Source organism: Homo sapiens, chromosome 3 (assembly GCF_000001405.40).
Source record: "Homo sapiens chromosome 3, GRCh38.p14 Primary Assembly".
NCBI classification, from domain to species: Eukaryota; Metazoa; Chordata; class Mammalia; order Primates; family Hominidae; genus Homo; species Homo sapiens.
Window position 1 is genome coordinate 7,219,580 of NC_000003.12, and position 22,018 is coordinate 7,241,597.

General features: G+C 36.7%; 1 protein-coding gene across 7 annotated transcripts in view, besides 1 other annotated feature; it reads left to right on the top strand.

Annotated features, from left to right (window-relative positions):
- GRM7 (glutamate metabotropic receptor 7) overlaps positions 1-22,018 on the top strand; it is an 880,419-nt gene that overhangs the window by 358,465 nt on the left and 499,936 nt on the right. The gene's annotated exons all lie outside the window — the stretch shown is intronic.
- Positions 12,817-12,986: an enhancer, noted in NCBI's record as "experimental_71090 CRE fragment used in MPRA reporter constructs". NCBI's record gives its function as "activates a minimal promoter by MPRAs in K562 erythroleukemia cells, with activity observed for the introgressed 3:7274168 variant allele {active_cell/tissue: K562}" and the evidence as "EXISTENCE:reporter gene assay evidence [ECO:0000049][PMID:34662402]".

Below are 22,018 nucleotides of genomic sequence, written 5' to 3' on the forward strand. Positions count from 1 at the left end.
TTAGGGACATTAATATGAGCTCAAGTTCAGTTTAATATATATGCAGGTAGTTACATATAGAAATATTTATAGGTACTTTTGTGTGCATGGGTTAGTGTTCGCATATTTTCTTGCTGTTAGTGTCAGCCTAGCAGGCCTAAAGCAGGTATACATCAGTAGCAGCAAGCACACCTGGCATGCAGGTCTTGGTATCTAATACCATTATCCAATGAGTGGAACTCCTTGAAGAGCTCCTTGAAGAAATGGCTGATCTTATGATTGAGGCAGGAAATATTCAAGATGATTCTGGAGTATCTTGTGGTGCTAGAAAGTTAAAAAGTGCTTAATAAAAACCCATGATGGTAAAAGTATGTCAAAGGGATGCAGGACCAACTAAAGGTTCTTAATGTCCAAAGCAGAACTGATCTAAACAAAAAAATAAATAAAGTAGTATTGGACTATAATTCAAAGTATAACATGGATATCCATAAGTCCCTGGCTGATATAAATAAATGACTTAATAAATAAAGGAAAGCTAGGCAAATCTCTTATACAGAAGAATTTCAAATACTTTATATAGATACTCTTCTCTCACAAAGTTACAGCATCATTTCTCAATTCCTTAATTGTGGGCTACACATGGTGACTTCTTTTCAAAGAAGACTGCCTGGAAAAGGTGGATGAAGTAACTTTACAGTGGAGAAACCTGACAAACACTATCTCAGTGAGGTGAATGAGGTTAATATCCATATGATAAGTTATGTTGATGCTACATTCCCTTGACACGTTGTAATGAGCATAGCACTTTATTCTGTGTCTATTCTCCTCAAAATGCCAGACCAGACAAATCAGGAGAAATACATCAGACAAATCCTAATTGAGGGACGTTCTCCAAAATACCTGGCCAGTACTCCTCAAAGCTACCAAAGGCATAGAAAACAAGGAAAGTTGGAAAAACTGTCATAGCCAAGAGGAGCCTAAGGAGACAAGATCACTAACTGTAACATTTTCACCTGGATGGAAATTGGATTAGGAAAAGGGCATTAGGTAAAAAAAAGAAATACCAATAAAGTATGAATTTAGTTAATGATACGTCAACATTGGTTGATTAATTGTGACAAGTGCTGCATATTAATTAATGTTAGATGTTAATAGTAGGGGAGACTGGGTGGTGTGATGTGCCTGTAATTGTCTTCACAATTTTTCTGTAATCTGAAACCTTCTAAAATATAGTTTATTTTTAAAAAGAGAATTTTGCAGCTTGGTACGGTGGCTCACACTTGTAATCCCAGCATTTTCCATCTCAGCCTCATTGCATGAGCTCAGGAGTTTGGCACCAGCCTGAGCAACATGGTGAAACCCTGTCTCTACCAAAACTACAAAAACTTTGCAGGGAATGGTGGCACACACCTGTGTTCCCAGCTACTCAGGAGGTTGAGGTGGGAGAAGGATGGCTGGAGCCCAGGACACGGAGGTTGCAATGAGCCGAGATCACACCACTGCACTACAGCCTGGGCGACAGAGTAAGACTGTCTAAAAAGCAAAACAAAACAAAAGAAAAGAAAACAAACAAACAAAAAAACACAAAAACCAAAGAAACTTTTCTACATCACCCTCCATTGAGGTTATGTGCATCTTTACTCTCATCTGCAGTGTAAAAAATGTTTTCTTTACCAAATGTTTGTTAAACATTTGGTTTTTTGCTACTCTGATAGGTTAAAAGAAGATTTTTAGTGTAATTTTTATTCTTATTTTCTTGCTATGACTAGAGTTGAGCAGCTGTTCAGATATTTTTAAGAAGTATTTGTGTGATTTTCTTTCAACTCTCAAACCTGATTGTTTGCTATTTTTCCATTGGGTTGTTTTTCTTCCATTTATAGGAGCCATGCAGCACATAGTTTTCTACTTTATTTATATTCTGACTTTGTTGTTTCTTGATATGTAAAAATATTTGCTTTTTATTTAGTTGACTTAGTCAATCTCTTCTAAGGGTTCTGCATTTTATATTGTAGGGGTGTTCCACCATGATTTTATTTTTTAATCTAATATTGTATAGTTTCTTTTTTATACTTCTTTTCATTTATTGTCTCTACTGATATATTAATTTTAAATCTAGCTATTTCCTTCTGTTTTATGTTTCCTTCCATTTTTCTTTTCTTTGTATCTTTTGCTATGTAGTTTGTTTTAGTTTCTCTTTTGTCTTGAGGTACTTGGAGATGACACATTGTATTTTTTAATTTCTTGTATTTTTTTTTTTTTTTTTTTTGTGATGGAGTCTTACTCTGTCGCCAAGCCTGAAGTGCAGTGGTGCAATCTTGGCTCACTGCAACCTCTGCCTCCCAGGTTCAAGCAATTCTCCTGGCTCAGCCTCCCAAGTAGCTGGGATTATAGGCACCCGCTACCACACCTGGCTAATCTTTTTGTATTTTTAGTAGAGACGGGGTTTCACCATGTTGACCGGGCTGGTTTCGAACTCCTGACCTCAAGTGATCTGCCCATCTCAGCCTCCCAAAGTGCTAGGATTACAGGCGCGAGCCCCCGCACCCAGCCAATAATTATCTTTAAGTCTTAAAAAAAACCAGCCCTCTTCCTTGAAAGTATATTTGTGAATCATCATCAACAAAATGACAATATGTCTGAATGCCTTTTTTGTCAGGTATGGTGGGCTGAATTCTCAAGATGTCACCCCAAGATTCCATCCACTGATCATTGAATCAAACACTACCTAGATTAAGGTAGTGCTGTGAAGATATTTTGCAGGTCAGAGAGATTTGAAGGGTGAAAAGGACCTGACTCCCAACCCCCACCGCGAACTGACTTTGAGATTGGATAGAGGGTTCCATGTACCAAGGAATGCTGGTTGCTCCAGAGGTTAAGGATATCCCCCAGCTGACATTAGCAAGGAAATGGAGCCTCAGTCCCACAACCACAGAGAACTGAAGTCAGCCAATGGCCTGAATGAGTTTAGAAGTAAATTCATTTTCAGAGCCTTCAGAAAGGAACTCCGCCCTGCTGACACCTTGATTTCAGCCTTGTGCAATCCCTCAGCAGAGAAACTAGCTGAGCCTGACAGCCTTCTGACCTACAGAACTGTGAAATAGTAAATGTTTGGTTTTTTAAGCTTCTAAATTTGTGATGGTTTGTGGCAGCAAGAAATTAATTTAAAAGGCAATGAAATTAGCTCAATCTCAGTTTCCCTTATACACAATCCTAGATTTGTTGGTTTATTCTTGAGATTTGCATTACATTTCAAGTGTTTGTTTGGAATAATTGTGTCTTTAAATTATTTCTTTTTTAGTGCCAGTCTTTTCAGCAATTCCAGTTTGTTTTCCTATCACTGGACTGTGTAAGAATATTTATCTCTTGCCATCAACATAAATGACAGCATATCTGGATAGTGAGTTTTGAAATTATACATTTTCTTTCTCATATTTTGATTCATGTTACTAAACTAATGTTGGAGGGAAAATATATTTTTCCCTTCAACAATCATAGTTTCATATTTAGATACTTGTTCTTGAAATGTATATGTTGACTAACTTATATATAGGTGCTTTTTTTTCCCTGTTAACCTTGCCAATTATTTAGTAAGATCTTTGCATCAGCATTCAGAAAATTTCCTTATATTAGACTTTAAATATTTGGTTTCCTTTCATTCTGTTCTTTGGGGATTGCAAATTATCTGGTTTTGTTTTGTCTTATTATACATCCTATAATTTCATAAATTTGATTGTATTTTTTTTGTCTTTTTCCCCCTGAATGCTGAAACAGGTTTTAAGCCTTCATCTCTTACTACTACAATATTATTTTTTCTTCAGTTTCTGAGGCTACTTTTAGTTCTGCAATGTCATCAGTAGATTTTGTCTTCTAGTTCATTTCTCATTTTATACCTGTATTTAATTTTATGGAAATCACCAGGCATAATTTCTCTAATATTTTTTTTTCTTTGCCTAAAGAGTTCTTTATCAAAAAAAGCTCCTCTTTCCTCTCCTGAATTATATGTTCTCATCTTTCCTTTTTTATAGAAATGTTTTATATTTTATTTTGGGTATTTCCTATATACTCATCTGTACATGTGAGAGTCTACCCTTGGCCTGATCTTGTCTACAAACATGACAATAAAAACCTCCTATGCTTATATCATTCTCACAGGGACACTCTTAAAATTATCTTAAAATCTCAAATCTTAATCTGGAGAGCCGAATAATAGAAATAGGTATGGGCAGTCTAGAGATTTTCTAGATGGAAAACTGTGGGGCAGAATCTGTAGTTGCAGGCTGCTATGCAGAGGAACTTGATCTCTTTATGGTTTCTTAGCGTTGGTGAAGCTGTTCTATCACTCACTTTTCTTGTCCACTTAGTCTCTGTTTCTGAATATACAGCATAGCTATGTATGGAATCTTTCTTGTTGCTCTTATCTGTTGACTAAGGGATTATCCAAAATACCTATTGGAAGTCTCTCTGGTGTCTTTCTTGCCATTAATCATCCTAGAGAAGCTATATCCAACTTGGTATTAGTCCATTCTTACACTCTTATAAAGAAATACATGACATCTGGCTATTTAAAAAGAAAAAAGGTTTATTTGACTCACAGTTCTGCAGGCTGTACAGGAAGCATGGCAGCATCTGCTCACTTCTGGGGAAGCCTGAGGAAACGTACAATCATGGCGGAAGGGAAGGGGGAGCGCATATATTACATGACCAGAGTCAGAAAAGGAGAGAGGAGGCGAGGTGCTATACACTTTTAAACAACTAGAACTCATGAGAATTTGCTCATTATCAAAAGGATAGTATCAAAGGGGGATGGTGCTAACCCATTTATGAGAAACCGCCCCCAGGATTCAATCACCTCCCACAGGCCCCACTTCCAACATTGGGGATTACAGTTGAACATGAGATTTGGGTGGGGACACAGGTCCAAACGATATTACTGTTGTTCTAGAATAGAACACAATTCCACAGTCATGGCCCTTGTAGATGCCACTGCTAACTGCCGACCCATGTTTTAGGTCCTATTTAAGAAATGTAAGAGAAATGAGGAGCTTAGTGGATGGTGTTCACTGAGAAAATTGTATTCTTTCAAATTAATCCTCCAAACCACTACTCATAGCAAAATATCTTAAACTTTGGGGATAATCATGGCATGTGCTTTCATTTCAAGAAATTATGGAGAACCGTTCTGTCTCTTTATAGTCTTTTGATCATGTTGGTAAAGACTGACAGAATTGTGGATGTGTCATGTGTAGTGGGAGGGGTGCAAGGTCATACCAAAAGTTGAATGCGTGCACCTAAGTCACTACCCACCACCCACTACCATATGAAGCATTTCATGAATCCCATGACCAAGAGTTTTGCTTATGCTGCATGTACCCTTGTGTTGTGCCTTGTGTATTCTCATATTTTTGATAGTAAGAATTGTTAATATTTTTTCTTTAGTTTTTACAGCTCTAGTTTTATAGCTATTTAATATAATATTTAGTCTGTGCAGCATAATATACTAAACTACCTCCTTGCTGACTCCATTTTGATTGTTTACTCTCTTTGATGTTACAAAGGATATTGAAATATATGTCTTACTTTTAATATCTCCTGACTTTTAAAAATTCATATCTATTCCTAGAAGGAGTAGGATTAATGCATTATAAATTATGGATGTATCCTTCACTCATACCTTTCAAATTGCTTTTTTAAAGACTGATACCAATTTACAATATTTTAGCAATATGTGACTATATCATTTTCACCTCAAACTCAGCAGCATTGGGTTATAATATATAACTTATTATATATACAATTTCTTATTTTATCTGTAATTTCTTAAAATATAGATATTATTTATATATGTATAGTAAATGTAAATATAAATATAGTTATATCTGTAATTTCTTGATATATTAAAGAAATTATAATTATAATAAATGTAAATATAAATAATTTCTTTGGCATTTTAAGAAACCATATAGCTATAATAAGAAATTATATATGATATATAAATATATTTATATATACAATATTAAAGAAATTAATATATACTTTCTAAATTAACCTATAATTTTTAAAATATTTTAAATGAATTAAATTAATTGTAAATGGGCATCTCCAAGTTGCCAAGGTGATTATTTTTATCAGGTGTTATGAGTTTGCTTGTACATTAAGTAGAAGTACAATAGTTTTAATAAATTAATACGTATATTTTGTCTCTCAATTACAAGTTAGTAATGTCCCCTAAACTATTTCAGGGAAGATTCTGAATCTTTGAAATTCAAATGCTAGTGTGCAAATGGTACCTGGAATATCACCTCATTTAATAATCCACTTATAATGACTTTTGATCTGGATTTTTATGAGAATAACAAAACCAGTTGTGAACAGTTAAATATTTTTATATCATATCCTCAGATCATCATGATTTTCTGTGAAATAAAGAACATTAGTCCCTTTCTTTGGTAAGGGAGTATTCACAATTCTGTCTTTATATAAAATAATTTTCACTTATTTTAGTTAATTAATATTTACTATATGCCTACTCTCTGATAGGTGCTGAGTCTCATCAAGTATGTAGCAGAATATGAATTTTAGAGCAGGTCTATTCATCTTCTATTGCTGTGTAACAAATCACTGCACATTTAGCAACTTAAAACAACACATATTGATTATCTGACAGTTATAGGTCAGAATTCAAGGCAAAACTGCAAGTTTGCTGTCATGGTGTCAGCCTGGCTGGGATCTCATCTGAGATTTGACTGAGGAAGAATTCACTTTCAGGCTCCTTCAGGTTGCTGGCAAAATTTATTTCCTTGTGGCTGTGTGACTAAGGGCTCTGGCTTTTTACCGCATGTTGACTGGAGGTTTTGTAGGTCCTAGAGGCCCCGACAGTTCCCTATCGTGTTGTCTTCCCACTGATTTTTGCTTCTTAAAGCCAGCAGAAGCGTCTCGAACTCCAGTCAAAGACAGAGTTCTGTATAAAATAACACAATCATAGGAGTGACATCACATTAACTTTGCCACATTCTATTGGTTAGAAGCAAGTCACATGATCTACCTGCACAACAGGAAGAGATTATACTATGGTGGGACTTACAGGGCCACCTTAGGTGTGTCCACCATAGAAGATAAGGAGAAAAGTCTGAATTTCCTTTTTGAAATTGAATAAATCAAACTTCCTTCCCTATTCTTTCTCATGTTTAGTTGCTTTCCCCATTTATCTACTTTGTTATTTTGAATGTACTCATGCTGTGTTACACTCCATAGTCGGCTCCTGGGGAATTTGCATAAAAATAAAACTCTATTTTAAGGGTCTTTATTATTTCGTTACAAACATTGTTTCAGAATTGAACCACACAAAGCCTAAGAATGGCATTGCTCTGATTTGCTCCCATAAATAAATGTCACTTACCATTAAGCATTTTCAAAGGGCATTTCCAAGGACATTCTGATTTTGCTAAGATTTACTGGAGGTTAAAAATTAACTAGAGATTAGAAGAAAAGAGAATTCAACTGGAATACCTGGTTGTAATTTTTATTTAAATTATTTTAATATTAATTAAGGTACCTCTCTTGCATTATTCAGCCTGTTAAACTGTAGAAGTCTTACTTGAATGTAATATAGTAACCATTTTTCTATAGTAGATAGAATTTCTTTTTGGATTACCATTGACCATTTGTGTTTTCATCATTTATATGAATCAATGGCAAATTGCAAGAAGTTCATAGTTTAGGCATTTATAAAATAAAGGACAATCTATTCTAGAATAATTTGGCATCTGTATACAATATGTTTATTAGAGGTCTAGCAGAAAGTGGAATAACTGTTGCCTTGGGAATGTCTACCCTACCCCACTGTGTTTAACATTTTTATTCCAGTTTATTCACCATATTGTACCGCAGAAGGTAGCCACAATGAGCTCAGAGAGACCTCCTATTGTATCGCATGCCTACTTTTTTCAGTACATCTTTGCACAAATACTTGACCATTTCCTTTTTATTCATCTGCAAAATGGAAATAAAAACACTGCCTACCTCATGTGGCTGTTATTACTGTTAAAATGAAATGGTAAACATAAAGTGCTTATCATCATAAAAACCACATAAGAAGAAGTCAACAAATGGAAGGTTTCTTTTCAAAAAAATTTACAGCTATTCTTTTAAAGCATAAAGGGGCAGCATTATCTCCACATGTTGGTTATCTCTAGAACCAAACTGTGAGAGGATTTTCACTGGGTATTATATTGAATAAGACTTCTCTGGCTGCAAGTGATAGGAATATAACATAAAAAAGAGAGAGGAAGGCAACATAATGGCTTAGATTATTGTAATTCCAGGAGTAGTCCCTAGGTTAGGGATAGTTGGATCCCTGGGCCCAAGCACTTGTCAGAATTAGGTCTCTTCCATTGTCATATGTCTACTTTAATGGTTTTCATTCAGGTACTCTTCTCTCAGAATATAACCAGAAAGTTATTTCTTTTCAATTAGTTCTAATAAGATGTCTGTGATTAGCTCTAATATTATCAATGTATGTCTTATACCCATTGCTGAGTCCATAAATCTGGTGAGTGAAGTTTCCTGCTAGGATTGCCCCACCTTCAGACCTGTGGGTAAGGTGACCCCAAATTTGAGGCACATGAACTGAGAACAGATAAGGGAAAGTGCTGATGTCATAGGGACTGGGCAAAGCTAGGCATTGCATCAATAAATGAAAGAGCACATTTTCAGTACAGATATGTTTAAGGTAAACGGCCGTTTATTTTTTAGTTATAGTTCATTGGTAGGAAGAAATAGATATCGATTCTCTCATAGCATTAATGAAAATCAAATTTATTGGAAGAATAAAGGATTGGAAACAAAATCCGATAAAACAGGTGGAGAAACAGGATTCAGGAATTTCAGAACACAACATCTTCAGAAATCCAAGAAGACGCTCTTGGGTCCTGGCTTAAGGAACCTTTGAGAATCTGTTCCAGATCTTGTATTGTTTGAATGAAAAACCACAATCTAGAGAAAGAGTGAATGATTATCCTTTCTTGAGTCATGTTTATATCCCGTGTATACGGATAAAGAGAATTCTGGGGTTATCTCTGTGACAGTCCTACTAACAATAAAAGTCTCTTTCACAAGAGACTCTACTATGAGATTTGGTAGAGATTTATGAGATTTGGAATCAAGTGTTGTGGGTTTTAATCATAGTTCTACTACCAGAGGTGGGATATTGGGCACATTACTTAACATTTCCCTTTATTTGCTTTTCCATTGTAGATAAAATTGGTTCCTATATTTTAGATATCTCATATGGGAAAGTATAATAGCTTTGATAATGATGTGATGAAGATGTGGTCAACCACCAGTGGATTGGGTGAAGCATTAATAGTTTTATTAAATAACTTGAGAAATGTTGACATAGAAATGAACGTGTGTTTTTACACAAAATGAAAATATCAAGCTTTTTCTTTCAAAACCTCATATTATCACAAAGTGGAAAGAATCATACAGTGAAATCAGTTGACTTCAGTGCTTATTTCTAATGTCCATTGTGATCAACTATATGTCAAATTAGAAGGGGTTACTTAATCTTCTTAATGTTAGCTATTTAATTGAGGGGTGGGGTGGAGGTAGTTATCGGAGTAACTTTACAATTAACATTTCCAGTGTTAACATTCATGACAATAAAACAGAAGAAACAAAAACAAAATACTTACTCTGTAGAAATATTCTTATCATTAGATAACTTTTTGAGCATTTACCATTTAACAAGCACCAAATTATTTCCACATGTTAATTAATTTAATTCTCATAATGACCCTATGAGGCTCTTTTATTATTTCCTTATTATAGCTGAGGAAGATGAGGCAGATAGAGTTAAGTAACAGGTCCAACGCCTTACCTAGAAGTAGCAGAAGGGGACCTCAAACCCAAGAACCCAAGCGCTTTATGAGTATTACGTTAAATTACCTCTCATCTGTATATGAAGATACTAGTGATTTTTCCATTATTTGTTTAGAAGGCTCAACAGGAGTTTGCAAACACTGAGCCAGTTTAACTATTCTGCAAGAATAACGGAAGGGTAAATGGATTTCCCTGGGAAATACTCTCTGGAGAAGAAAACAGTGGTAGGAGAGACAGAAAACAAATGAGCTGTTTTCCTTCCCCAACCCCGCTCTCCATAGACACACACATATATATATATATATATATATATATATATATATTTTTTTTTTTTTTTGGTTGACAGGTGTTGAGTGCTTTCATATGTTTTCTGACTTTATGGGTCAGCAATCTTCCATCTTCTTTTTTTTTTTTTTTTTTGAGACGGAGTCTTGCTCTGTTGCCCAGGATGGAGTGCAGCGGGGCGATCTCAGCTCACTGCAAGCTCCGCCTCCCGGGTTCACGCCATTCTCCTGCCTCAGCCTCCCGAGTAGCTGGGACTACAGGCGCCCACCACCACGCCTGGCTAATTTTTTGCGTTTTTAGTAGAGACGGGGTTTCACCGTGTTAGCCAGGATGGTCTCGATCTCCTGACCTTGTGATCCACCCACCTCGGCCTCCCAAAATGCTGGGATTGCCGGCATGAGCCACCGCGCCTGGCCTCTTCCATCTTCCAGTTGAACTCTTATATCAGAAAGAAATTACCTCCTCAAACAGATTCAATTAATAGTGAAATAAACACATTTATGTTTACAACAATTTTAGAATCAAAACAGACAAAATTGTATACCTAACACTTGGAAGGAGTTAAAAACTCTAATATAGTAGGCATCATGGATATGCTTATTGTTTTGTAGGAATGTGAATATCAAGAGCAAGCAAGGTCACATACTGCTAGGTTTTCATCTCATCTGTCAAGGTGTCATCTGTCAATAGCAGATTGCTATTGAGTAGTAAGTGCCTTGAATTCTCATCATCTGATTAGGAATACGCCCATAACTGTTTCTTAGTGTTCAGCTCTGAGTGAAGGTTCATTTTTTTAAGGAAAGAGACATTTAGTATAACTTTAATTCTTCTCTTGCAAATGTCTAAGATTCCTTCAACGTCAAAGAGAAAAGTGTAAAAATTAAGTAGAAACTAGGGCATAGATTAGAAGGTGGGTATGGGTCAGCGGCTTAATGCAGCTTTCAAAGAGACTTTGTTTGTATAAGAATGAGTTTTCTTGTGAGGAGCGTTTGTGAATTGGCCATGATCTGGAAAGACTTTAAAATCTGATGTGTTAGGACATTTTTGCAAACAGCATTAAGTGTGCCTCAGGGAAGAAATAATGGAGCGAACCAGGGTTGTGAAGGTACGAGTAATTCTGGGAAGCAGCTATTGCATAAAACCCTTTTAGTATATTCATGAATCTTGGCAGGTTGAGTGGGAAGATAATGTTATAGGTCATTACCATCTCAATTGGACCACCAGAAACAGCATTCATACTCACCCATCCAGCCACTTCTTCACAGGAGCACTGAAAAACCACCTGCCCAATAGGGTTACATTTGGAGCTATAATTGCATGTGTGTGTTTGTGTTATGGGGAAGGAATTGGGTGGTAGGGAATTAGCTAGAGAAAGAGAAGAGGGCTCTGTCTGGCAAACTGCAGAAAAAAAGTTTAGGTGTCACCCGTCTTGGAAGGCTCTGGGAGTGAGCTATGGACACTGAATTAGGCATTTGACATGTGAGATTGTGATTCCTGGACTTCAATCAGTTTTCCCGTTGTACATAGAACCCAACCAAAGAACATGTACCCTACAAAGATGATTTGAATAAACTCAGTACCCAATCAAAAAGTGTCTTTGATAGTGAGGTGTTGGCATTTAAATATGTTTCTTTGAAATTTAATCAAATTGGCCATCTCCAACAGATGAACATATGGCATTCTAAAATATTTTTATCTGAAATCATTATTTTTAAAATTTGGAGCATATATATATACATATATAATGTCCAGAAACACAATCTATATTGGTCAAGTCTCAAAGCTAACCAACAAATGCATCTCTGCTAGAATGTTCTTGAACTATGTTTTGACAGCTGTGTGAAGGAAAACCACTTGAACAGTAAACAATTATCAAAACAGCTGGCATTTACTGGCTTATGATGTCTGAGGCATTGATCTAAGGACTTTCCATGCAGTGATTTAGTTAATTCTCACAACATCTCTATGAGATAGATAAGATTGCCCATAAATGTACAGATGAGGAAACCAAGGCATTTAGTGTTTAGGTGATTGTCCAGTCTCTAAATTGGGAAGAGGCAGAGCTGGGTTTAAAACTTAAGCAGTCCAGCTGTAAAGGTGTCCCCTTACTGCCCTCCAGCTGATCAGTATTTCATTTCAACATTTATCCAGACCCAATTTATATTGGGCACTATGCTAGGTGCTGGAGATACAAAAGAATCCCATTTCAGCCCATGGGAAGCTGCTGAGGGAGAGAGATGTGAACAGATAACTATAGCAGTGTGCTGAACCGAAGTACACAGATCATTGAGAAGAACATTGAAATAAGTGATGAATTCCTGGTGGAGAAGCAGGAAATAGAAGATTTCCTGGATGCAGTTATATCTGAGATGACTTTTGATGCATTAGTAGCAGTTTTGACAAATGATGGGAAGAAATATTCCAAGTGAGAGAAATAGCACACATGTATGCTAGGGGCCTGACACAGCTCTGTCCTATGTATATGGGTGAACTCTCTTCCAACATTTTTTTGCTCACTCAGATCTTGTAAAAAAAAAAAAAGTTGAATTCACTCTGTTGGTTCTATGTTGAATCAAAATATAGATTAACTTTTGACAAAACATAGGTCAATGCTTCAAAGTGGGAATGAGACTGTTGTCATGGGAGTTGAGATACCATAAAGAGCTGGAAAGACCCTAAGCATTTATGTTCCATTTTGCCCATCAAAGGCTCCCTTGTGGATCAGATCGAGTTAGAAAAATCTAGATGGAAGTGGGAGGAAATGGGCTGAAGTATCAGATGATAGGATGAGAAATGTGAAAGAGGGAAAACTGTTTCTTAAGATCAGTTTGTATGATAAGGATGCAAGTCAATCAACATAATTTTGAACTTCTGAGAGACAGAAGAGGACTCTTGCAGTTTGTAATGAGAGGCTTTTTCACATTTTGGGACATTATCATGTGTCAAGCACTGTGTCTGGTGCTTTACAAGCTTTGATTTAACTTATTGATTCAATAGCCTGATTGCAATAGTTACTTTTATTAGCAATATCTTGCAGATGAAGTTTACACAGCTAGTAAGTAGCAGAGCTAAGATTCTAACTCAGATCTGATGCACTCAATTTAGGGTTGCTTAAGATGAGCTTGCAGGTCTACTAACATAGTCTTCTTAGGATTTCTTCCAGGTGACTTCTTTCTTCGAATCTTTAGATGTTAATGAAATGTAGACTTATGGGTACTTATGGGTACCCTGAAGGGAACACTTAGTTAATAAAGAGCTCGTCTGAACACAGACTTTTTAATATTTGCATGACCATATGAAGAGTGGTATTAAAATAGTTCTTTGTGTTGAATACATTTAAAGCTATTACCAAGTTTTGATTTGGACCATTATATCAAAGGATATTTTTCTTAACTTCAAAAACTGATTATATGTTCTTGAAATAGAGAATAGAATATATATGTCCTAGTTTAGAATTCTGGGCAACTTTGTAATTGAAGTTACAGAATTACATTTTGAACAGAGGAAGCCCAATTTATGTAATCTGCTTATTGCAGCTTTCCAAGATAAGATTTGTCAGAAGGCTAAAAAGACTTCTTGATCACTGGTAAGTTTCTCTAAATGGGCATTTTGATTAATTATGATCATTTCGCTGATTAAATATCAGTGACTAATCCTCTAATAGAGTGGGAAATAACCACCACTATAGTTGGTTGAAAATAAAGGGATAAGAATGCAGAGATTGGTTTGAATCATGTAAAGTTATGATTATGGTATCAGATTGTACCAGCTATTGTAACTTTGAGGTTTCTTAAAGCCTTGAAGCTTATTTAATCTGAGGAGATATAATAAAAGTCTGTAACAGCTATTTTGAAAGACTATATGGGTTTTTTTGTAATTGTACCAACTATGAGTAACATAGAAATAGTCATTTATTCAATACCTGCTCTGTGCAAGACCCCTTGTTTGAGTGAAGAAAAGTGTCAGATGACTAGAACTGCTCTATTTAGTTTGCACGGAGTGTGACTTTTGAACAGGTAAAAATTTTTCTTTTACAAAATGACTCCGAACTGCAAATAAATAAACCCAATTTTTGGATCCCCATGGAATGTCTAGGCTGGAAAAGAGGACTGATCCTTCCCCTCCCCAACTTTTGCTTTAAGACCTCTAATCTAAAGCACTATTTCAGAGTGGCAACCTAGGCTTTTCTTGAATACATCCCATAATGAGTAACTTATTATATCCTAAAGCGGTTCAAGGCATTTTTAAATAGTTTGGAACATTAAAAACTTCCTTCCTATAACTGCTACTCATTGGTCCTAATTGTATTGCCCTAGGCTTTAATGTTTTTAATATAGCTTTAGATGAATAAAATATAAATCTTTATAATAACCAAAAAAGGAATGCTCAAGGAATTGTAATAGGATTTAAGAGAACAAAATTATGTTTCATATTTACCTAGAAACAATGTTTTAATAAAATGCTTAAAAAATAAGGTGACTTTTGGAATTAAAAACCAAATTTGACCTTTTAATGTAGTTTCTGAGGTTCATTGGAAAACATGTACCTGTCTCTTTGGTGTTAATTATTAGACTCAACTAGGTAAAGGAAGATAGTGATTAATTCACATATGTGGATTCTCATTGCATTGTTTGGATTTCCATTTATTTCTACTAACTAGCACTGTGACTCTGTCAAGTTACTTCCCTCTCCTGGGCCTCTGATTCCCTAACCAGTAATAAAGTATCTGCCTCATAGAATTGTGTGATTGTAATAAGATAATGTTTATGAAGTTCTTAGTCCTGGATCTGGTCCATAAAATACCTTCAATAAAATCTCCATTCAACAAATATTTATTGATAGCACATGTATCATCTGTCTTACATAAGAAGTGGTTCTAGAGATCATACTGCATGATTAAACGTTTTGAGAAAATAAAAGAGTTGCATTTTTTCAGATATTTTTCTGGCAACACCCAAAGGAAATTGTTTCTTTATGTTTCGAGAGAGTGATCATTAGTTTAAAAAAAGACTTAATTGCAAAACACTGTTATGGAGAGATAATTTGTTAATGTCATGGTCAAGATATGGAAAAGATTCCTGATATTTTCCAGAATATACTCTCCATTAGAGATTATGTTTTGCTTTACTTATTTAATATTCTTGAAAGGTGCCAGATCAAAAAGTCCTTCATTAAACTCATTAAAGTTTTTCCTTTGACCCATTTTACAACAGGCTTCTGCAAAATAATGTTCATCCATCGTTTTCTTGCCTGTACTGAAACTTAACTCTTTATAATATTTATGTTTGTCATCCCTCTGTAGATCCCTTTTGATACCTAATTATTATCTAAGCATCTCCCTCATTAGAATAAAAAAAGTAAACTAGCAATCTTGAAGTTAGAAACCAAGTTTTAGAGCTTTCCACATTAAACCTATGTTACCTTACTAGTTACTACCATCAACTAGACGGTAAAGTGCAGGATCTGCGAGTGCCTTCCTTCCTTTGTATTTCCATGTGGATGTCCTGAGTGTTTGTACAGAGCCTTTCATGCATTGTGCCTCTGCAATTTTCTGCTCCTATAAATAGCATTTTTCAGCTCTTGGTATGTATGCCAAGTCATTCCTTGTATTTGGTACAGCATTTTCCATACCATGGGTGAGTACAGAATCTTTCACTTCTTAAGCATCTCGGAAAAGATCTGTTTCTCCTAGTAACTTGGCCACCACCAATAAGGAATTTTCTGTGGTACATGATAAGCACCCCTAGGTTCCCCATTATGCCCACGTATTGATTGGGCCTTGTCTCCAAACTTTAAGGAGCTATGATAGAGCAGAGTTACTCCAACACCTCCTGACGATTTGATCTAAGCCACCAAGGAAATTCTTTACGGAGAGTGGCAGCACATTCCTCATCCATCATACATTTATATCTTGCCTCTCTATTTAACACATTGCAGAAAAAATGCAAATGCATTCAACTCACAACGGAAATACATCTTATTTTTGAGCTGCCTACATGGATAATATTCATCATTTCTAAACAAGATGTGAGGAATATAACATACATATAATTTTTTCTTTATCCAGAATTAAGTCTATTTTTCACTTGTGAGAGAAATAAAACAAGCTTTGAAAAAAATGTTTGGCTAAATGATAGTACATACAGTAGATCAATACAGCAAAGGTACTGTCTTAGTTTGTGCCTGCTGCTATAAGAAAATACCTTAGACTGGGTAATTTACAAACAACAGGCATTTATTTCTCACAGTTCTGGAGGCTGGGAGGTCCAGGATCAAGGTCCTTGCAGACACTGCATCTGGTGGGAGTTGCTATCTGCTTCCAAGATGGTGCCTTCTTGCTGCATCCTCATGTGGTAGAAGGGGTGAGGGGACTAACTGGCTCCCTCCTCAAGTCCTTTTATAAGGTCACTAATACCATTTATAAAGCAGAGACCTCATGACGTGATCATCTCCCAAAAACCCCATCTATTAATACTATTGCATTGAGGGTTAAGTTTCAACATGAATATTAGAGAGAAACATACATTCAAACCATAGTAGGCAGTAACATTTGCCTGGTGCCTAAGGTGTGCCAAACAATATTCTAAATCTTTTCAGTGCTTTGTCTTACTTTATGTTTACCACAAACCCGAAAAAGATGTTACTATTTTCTCCTATTTTTTAGAAAAGGGAAGTAGTAGATTGGTTATGGTCCTAATTTTACATGGCTTCCTATATCCATGCCTTATGCAATGTGACTTGACAGCTCCTTCCATCAAAAGCTGAAGTTTTTCCCTAGTGTGTGAATGTGGGCTGGCCTTGGGACTTACCAGGCCAATAGAATGTGGCGGAAGTAGACAATAGGCCAGTTTCCAATCTAGCTCTCAAGTGATCTTGCCCTCTTTTATTTTCTGTCTTTGAATCCTGCCCATAGCAACAAGCTTAGGCTAGCAGGTAGATAATAAGTGATCCAGGGCCAGGTTAGTACCCTCACCACAACCAAGAGCCATCCAATCACAAGATATGTGAATGATATCTTTTCCAGAGCACTCAGCTCTCAGTTTCTGTGCCCACTGACCACAGACATATGCTTTAGCCCTAAAAGATCAACCAAACCTGGTTCAGATCAGCAAAACCACCCATGGATTCCTGAGCAACAATAAATGTATACTGAGTTTGGGAACATTTGTTATGCAGCAATAGCTCTCAGATATAGAAGAAATTCTTCGTTTTATTTACTCGTTCTTTCTCAGCCATCGTGCATACTGATGTGGTTATTGAAAAAAGGAAATAAATTATTAATACTAAATACTTCTGTATATACAGCCCGGTCATCAGTGCTTGTGTATATGTAAACCCATTTTGTCCTCAGTGAATTTCAGGGGGAATTTCTTATCTTCATTCACAGGTAAAAAAACTGAAACTCAGAAGAGGTGCCTGCCAGCAAGTCACTCTGTCATTGTGGCAGTGCCAGAATTTGAGCACAAGTCAAAAGTCTATATTCTTTACCTTTTTCCATTTCTGTTACCTCTATCCTTTCTGATGTTGAATTTCAGCAGTTGCCTTGAGAAGCCCCTTAACTTTAAGCAGTCCTTCTATTAGGTGTTCTTGGAAATCCTGTAGAATAGCTAGTGAATAATCATTATTTTTTATATCCCTTGCACTTGGGCCCATCCCAGATGGTAGAAATAACACCAAACCCCATGTCTTCCCTTTAAAATCTGGGTATCCAGAATTGGTTCCTTCTGGTGGGTTCTTGGGCTCGCTGACTTCAAGCATGAAGCCGTGGACGCTCGTGGTGAGTGTTACAGTTCTTAAAGATGGTGTGTCTGAAGTTTGTTCCTTCTGATATTCAGATGTGTCCGGAGTTTCTTCCTTCTGGTGGGTTCGTGGTCTCGCTGGCTTCAGGAGTGAAGCCGCAGACCTTTGCAGTGAGTGTTACAGCTCATAAAGGTAGTGTGGACCCAAAGAGTGAGCAGCAGCAAGATTTATTGTGAAGAGTGAAAGAACAAAGCTTCCACAGCGTGGAAGTGGACCCGAGTGGGTTGCCACTGCTGGCTCCAGTGGCCAGCTTTTATTCCCTTATTTGGCCCTACACACATCCTGCTGATTGGTCCATTTTGCAGCGTAACGATTGGTCCATTTTTGCAGAGTGCTGATTGGTGCGTTTACAAACCTTTAGCTAGACACAGAGTGCTGATTGGTGCGTTTTTACAGAGTACTGATTGGTGCGTTTACAGACCTTTAGCTAGACACAGAGTGCTGATTGGTGTGTTTACAATCCTTTAGCTAGACAGAAAAGTTCTCCAAGTCTCCACCTGACCCAGAAGCCCAGCTGGCTTCACCTCTCAAAAGCTCATAGCATTAAGGAATATATTGCATGCACCATAGTATTGAATCAAAATTATATCAGCAACAGTACTCTTCAAGTTATGTGACTACCATTCTAAATAGCACTTCTCATTACAGCTCAGATCTTATCCAATCTCTTCGGTTGTCCTCTCCAGCATCAACTCCAACTCTTCCTCCCCTGTCCAACAAGCCCAGGCCACACTAATTCATTATTTTCCTCAGTTATTTCTATTCTAGGTTCATCACATTTGCTTCTGCTCTGCATGCCATTTTCTTCTGCCAGATCCTTACAGGGCTAATGCTTCCAGTTACTCAGGACAAGTCCGAATCTACCTTTTCAGAGAAGGCTTCTCTGTTCGAAATTGAGCCTAGAAAGCTATTTTTTCACCACTCCCCACTGTTTTATTTTCTTCATATTAGTTCTCATGTTGTCTAATAAACTTTGTTTTTTTTTGTCTTCTGCCACTAACATGTACACTCCTTTAGGATGAGGACCTTTTCTCCTTTCAAGGCTGTGTCCTCAGGCTTAGCATACAGAAGAAACTCAATAAATATTTGTTAAAGGAATTGCCTAAAGCCATTTAACATATTCAAAAGTCAGGTGGGACTGTGGCCAGCTTGCTCACACTCCCCTTCTCCCTGACCCTTCACAACACACATCTAGCCCTTTCTATTCTTTTCTTTTTTTTCTTTTCTTTTCTTTTCCTTTCCTTTCCTTCTTTTCTTTTCTTTCCTCTCTTCTCCTCTCCTCTCCTCTCCTTTTCCCTCCTCTCCTCTCCCCTCCCCTCCCCTCTTCCTTTCACTTGTTTTCTCTTCTCTTCCCTTCTTTTCTCCTTTCCTTTCCTTTCTTTTTTCTTCTCTTTTCCTTTTCCTTTACTTTTTGTTTTTCTCTTTTCCTTTTCCTTTTTCTTTTATTATTCTTTTCCCTTTCTTTTCTTTTTTCCTTTTTCTTTTTTTTGACATGGTCTCATTCTGTAATGCAGGCTGGAGAACACTGGTGCAATCATGACTCACTGAAGCCTGCAGCCTTGACCTCCCTGGGCTCAAGTGATCTTCCCACCTCAGCCTCCTGGATAACTGGGACTACAGGCATGTGTCACCATTTGCAGCTAAATTTTGCATTTTTTGGTAGAGACAGTGTTTTGCCATATTGTCCAGGCTGGTCTCCAACTTCTGGGCTCAAGAGATTCACTCATCTTGGCTTCCCAAAGTGCTAGGTTTATATACGTGAGCCACTGAGCCCAGTCTAACATCCACATTTCTAATGCAGAGTCCAAATGTGATGTAGTAAAAGCACCGTGGGCTTTGAGGAAAGACGGAGCTGGCCTTATCAGTCACTATCCAGGAAGCTCTGGGATCATAGTTTGCTCATCTATGAAATATGGCTAATCCTACCTACTTTATGGACTGACCATGAACATAAAATGGGTATATAGCACCGTACCCAGCTGTGAGGCTTAGTTTTGTATGACTGGCCATTGTAGTGCCCAGACTGAACATTATTTCACGGTGTGTCTGTGAATGTTTCCGGATGAGATTAGCATTTGGATTGGTGGGCTCAGTAAAGCAGATGGCTCTTCCTAACGTGGGTGGGCATCATCCAGTCTATTAAAGGCCTAGAGGGGGACATTTTTGATCTGGGAAAATTTTCTGAAGACTCTCAAACATTCTGTTTGATTAACCGGTTTTCTGAAAGCAGACGTCTGCAAACAAGAAGCTTTAAGAGTTAAGGCCTTGTGCTCCTTCTTTCAGCATCAGAGTTTTTTCTATCAAGGCTTTGATTCTTCACAAGTTAGTTCTGCCCTTCTCCTGAAATCAGAGAATCACACACTGTACCAAGTGGTCTGGCTGTAACTTTTGATCATATTTTTAATTACTTTTGGCTGCTAGCATTCCTCTGCATTTTAAAAAGCATCCTAAGAGTAAAAGGACTCTATCGTTTTATCAATTAATTCTCCATGCCCTACTAGAGATAATGTCCAATAAAGGCAGATATCCATTTTCCCCTGTGGAATCCCATCAAATGTGTATGAGTAAGGAGTACCAGTAATCTTTTAGCATGTGAGGTTTTTTTTTTTTTTTTTTTTTTTTCCAGTGGCTTAATTTCATTCTGGTTTGGCAATCTGATGGAGAAAGCAGCGGCTTCTATAGGAGGTGTGGGGCTGAAACACACAGTGCAGTGGTGAAGTCTCTTGAAAAATAAGAATATAAAAATATAAAATTAAGTACAGGGCTTGCATGGACTTGTGATAGTGAGGGGCCAAAGGACATGAACTCATGGCCTGGAATTGTTTTTTTTTTAATCAGAAATCTCCTAATTTTAAAATACACCAAATAAACATGTCTATTGGGCATAATTTTAACCAAATGACTTACGGTTTGTGACCTCTAAAATAGTTTTTATTTTTGCAATATGTTTAGAGTAATTTAAAATATGAATGAAGGAATTATACAACTACTAAGATATGGTTGAATATTGGCATATATCAAAGATCTAACTTGTTAGAAGAGGCATATGTCTCAGGCTTCAAACCTGAAATATTCATCTCCCATTTTTAATACAGATATAGGATTTAAAAGTCTGTTTCTTTTTTCCATTGCTTTTCGGGAAGATTTCAGTCTCTCTACTGACTGTCAATCCCTTCCCTCCCCCTCTTCCACATGAAGGTAGCATGGTTTTTAGCATAGTGCCTGGCACATAAGTAAGCCCAAATGTAGACACATGCAGCATAACAATGTTTCAGTCATCTGCTGACCGCGTATACAGTGATGGTCCCATAAGATTATAATATTGTATTTTTACTGTACATTTTCTATGTTTAGATACACAAATACCTACCACTGTGTTTTAATTGCCTACAGTATTCGGGACAGTAATATGCTGTACAGGTTTGTAGCCTAGGAGCAATAGGCTATACCATGTAGCCTATGTATGTAATAGACGATGCCATCTAGGATTGTGTAACTCTACTCTATGATGTTTGACAAAATCCCCTCATGGTACAGCACTCAGAACATACCCCCATTGATAAGGCATGCATTAGCTGTATATGGTTGCTGAATTAATTAAAATATGACTTAGCCAAAGTTTATTTTAAAGTTAACCTCTCCTTGCTTGACCTCAAATGTGAGGCAGCCTTATTCAATGGATAGAACATAACTTCCTTTGATCAAAAGCATTTGATGTAAATTTCTATATGGAATGTGGATAAGGGTGTCTATATGGACTACAAACATCTGCATAGTAGTAGTGGTAGTGGTCACTGTCTGCGTTGTCATCATCATCCTCGTTAATGCTATGTACATGCCATATACTGCTTTGAATGTTTCATACATATTAATATAATAGTCATCATTAGCATTATTTTTTATCCTTAGAACTTACTTTTTTAAAGTTTAAATTAGGAATTAAAAATATATAAAATAATTAAGACCATCTCATCAATCTGAGGTCACGCCAGGAAAAGTCTAATTTAAACAAAGATGATTTACTTTTGTATTACATAAAATCAATCAAGATATATCAGATATGACTCTATGCTAG